Source organism: Homo sapiens, chromosome 10 (assembly GCF_000001405.40).
Source record: "Homo sapiens chromosome 10, GRCh38.p14 Primary Assembly".
Classification (NCBI taxonomy): domain Eukaryota; kingdom Metazoa; phylum Chordata; class Mammalia; order Primates; family Hominidae; genus Homo; species Homo sapiens.
This window is the reverse complement of record NC_000010.11, coordinates 90,023,463-90,025,322: the sequence shown is the minus strand read 5'-3', so window position 1 is coordinate 90,025,322 and position 1,860 is coordinate 90,023,463.

Below are 1,860 nucleotides of genomic sequence, written 5' to 3'. Positions count from 1 at the left end.
TGTTGATTCTAACATTATGTTTTCTTTTTCTAGAAGCTTTCTTTAAATGAAGACTACTACATTTCTGTATTTTGTGGACAGGGTTGGCAGTTTGAGATAACTTACAAGATTCCTGTTTCAAGAATACTTTCTTCTGTCAATATAATGGAACACAACTCCTTTACTGGATCTTTTTTAAATGTTGGAGGAAGACTGTCTGCTTATTTTGAGGACCAGTCTGAAAATATTTGGCAAAAGACAGTATGTACACATCCTGTGGCTGATAATATTTTATAGAAAAAATACGTATACACAAGGACACATGAATGAAAATATTTACCACAGCACTCTTTGTAAAAGGAAGAGTTCAAAACTACCTGGGGTTTCCCAATAGTAAATAGAAATCAAAATATGGTATATACAAGTGATGGGGTAATAATACTGAATGTAAAAAGAAAGTAATAAGCAGAATAAATGTTTAACATGACAATATGTATGTAAGTTAAATGGCACAAGCATGGGTAAAATTTGAGACCAGGGATGATTAGTAAAAGAAAAGAAAATGCATAGAAAGAGAAACATACATGGATATATGATAGCTTTCTGCAAACTCAGAATTGCAAGTAATCCAATTTTGTATAGTTGAAGTTTAATATTTTTATAAATTAAGTAGAACCACTAAAATAATACAAATACAAAAATTACTTGCTGAGAAGTTGCTGGTGCCAGTCCCATGAGGGCAAGGCTTGCCTTAAGTGATTAAGAAGCATGGCCGGCCGGGTGCAGTGGCTCGCGCCTGTAATCCCAGCCCTTTGGGAGGCTGAGGCAGGCAGATCACAAGGTCAAGAGATCAAGACCATCCTGGCCCCCATGGTGAAACCCTGTCTCTACTAAAAATACAAAAATTAGCTGGGCGTGGTGGTGCGCGCCTGTAATCCCAGCTACTCGGGAGTCTGAGGCAGGAGAATCGCTTGAACCCAGGAGGCAGAGGTTGCAGTGAGCCAAGATCACGCCACTGCACTCCAGACTGGCCCAGCCTGGCAACAGAATGAGACTCCATCTCAAAAAAAGCATGGCCAGCAGATTCTTGACCTGATTTCAAGAATACCTTCTTCTGTCAATACAATGAAACATGACTCCTTTACTGGATCTTTTTGAATCATGTGAAATCACCTCATTACAGCATTTGCCATTTTTACTCACTTAGTATGTGATAAGAGAGAGCTGTTCTCAATTTCTGAACCATAAATAAATAAATGGTAATCTGGCAATGGTAATGATGTAATACAGCAGCCAAGCACTTAGCAAAATAAGCCCAGTATAAATACCATTGAAAAGATAAATCAAATTTGTCCACCTCAATGTTATTGAAGCCTCTAATTTTAGGAAAAATATTTTAAATGTCAACCTTAGAATACCTAATCCAAATATTTAATTTCCTACCAAAACTTTGGAGTTTTTAAATAGATGGAATTTCAGCCAATTTTATGATTACAATGGAAAAAAACTGGGACAAATAAATTGTCAGCTTTCAGGAGCCAAAAAGAAGGCTTATTTACCAGTAAGCCTTCCTCTGCGATTTTATCACACACCTGCCAACACTTATCTGCCTGCACCCAGCAGGACATACATAAACAAAACAGGAAGCAGGAAACTGCTTTACCCTCTTTTTCTATCTTATGTGTCCCTACTCACCTTCATTGATTCCAGGAAAATTTTCCTGACCTCCTTCTGCCCCAAATCTGCCTTTTGGTTATTCTTTTCATTTGGCTTAGTTGAAATCCATTTATCGCCTGTTCTTCTTAGAGTTGCATAAAAAACTTATACTCTGGACTTGGCCCACACTTCATAGTTATATATATCCCTAATGTAAGTGATTCT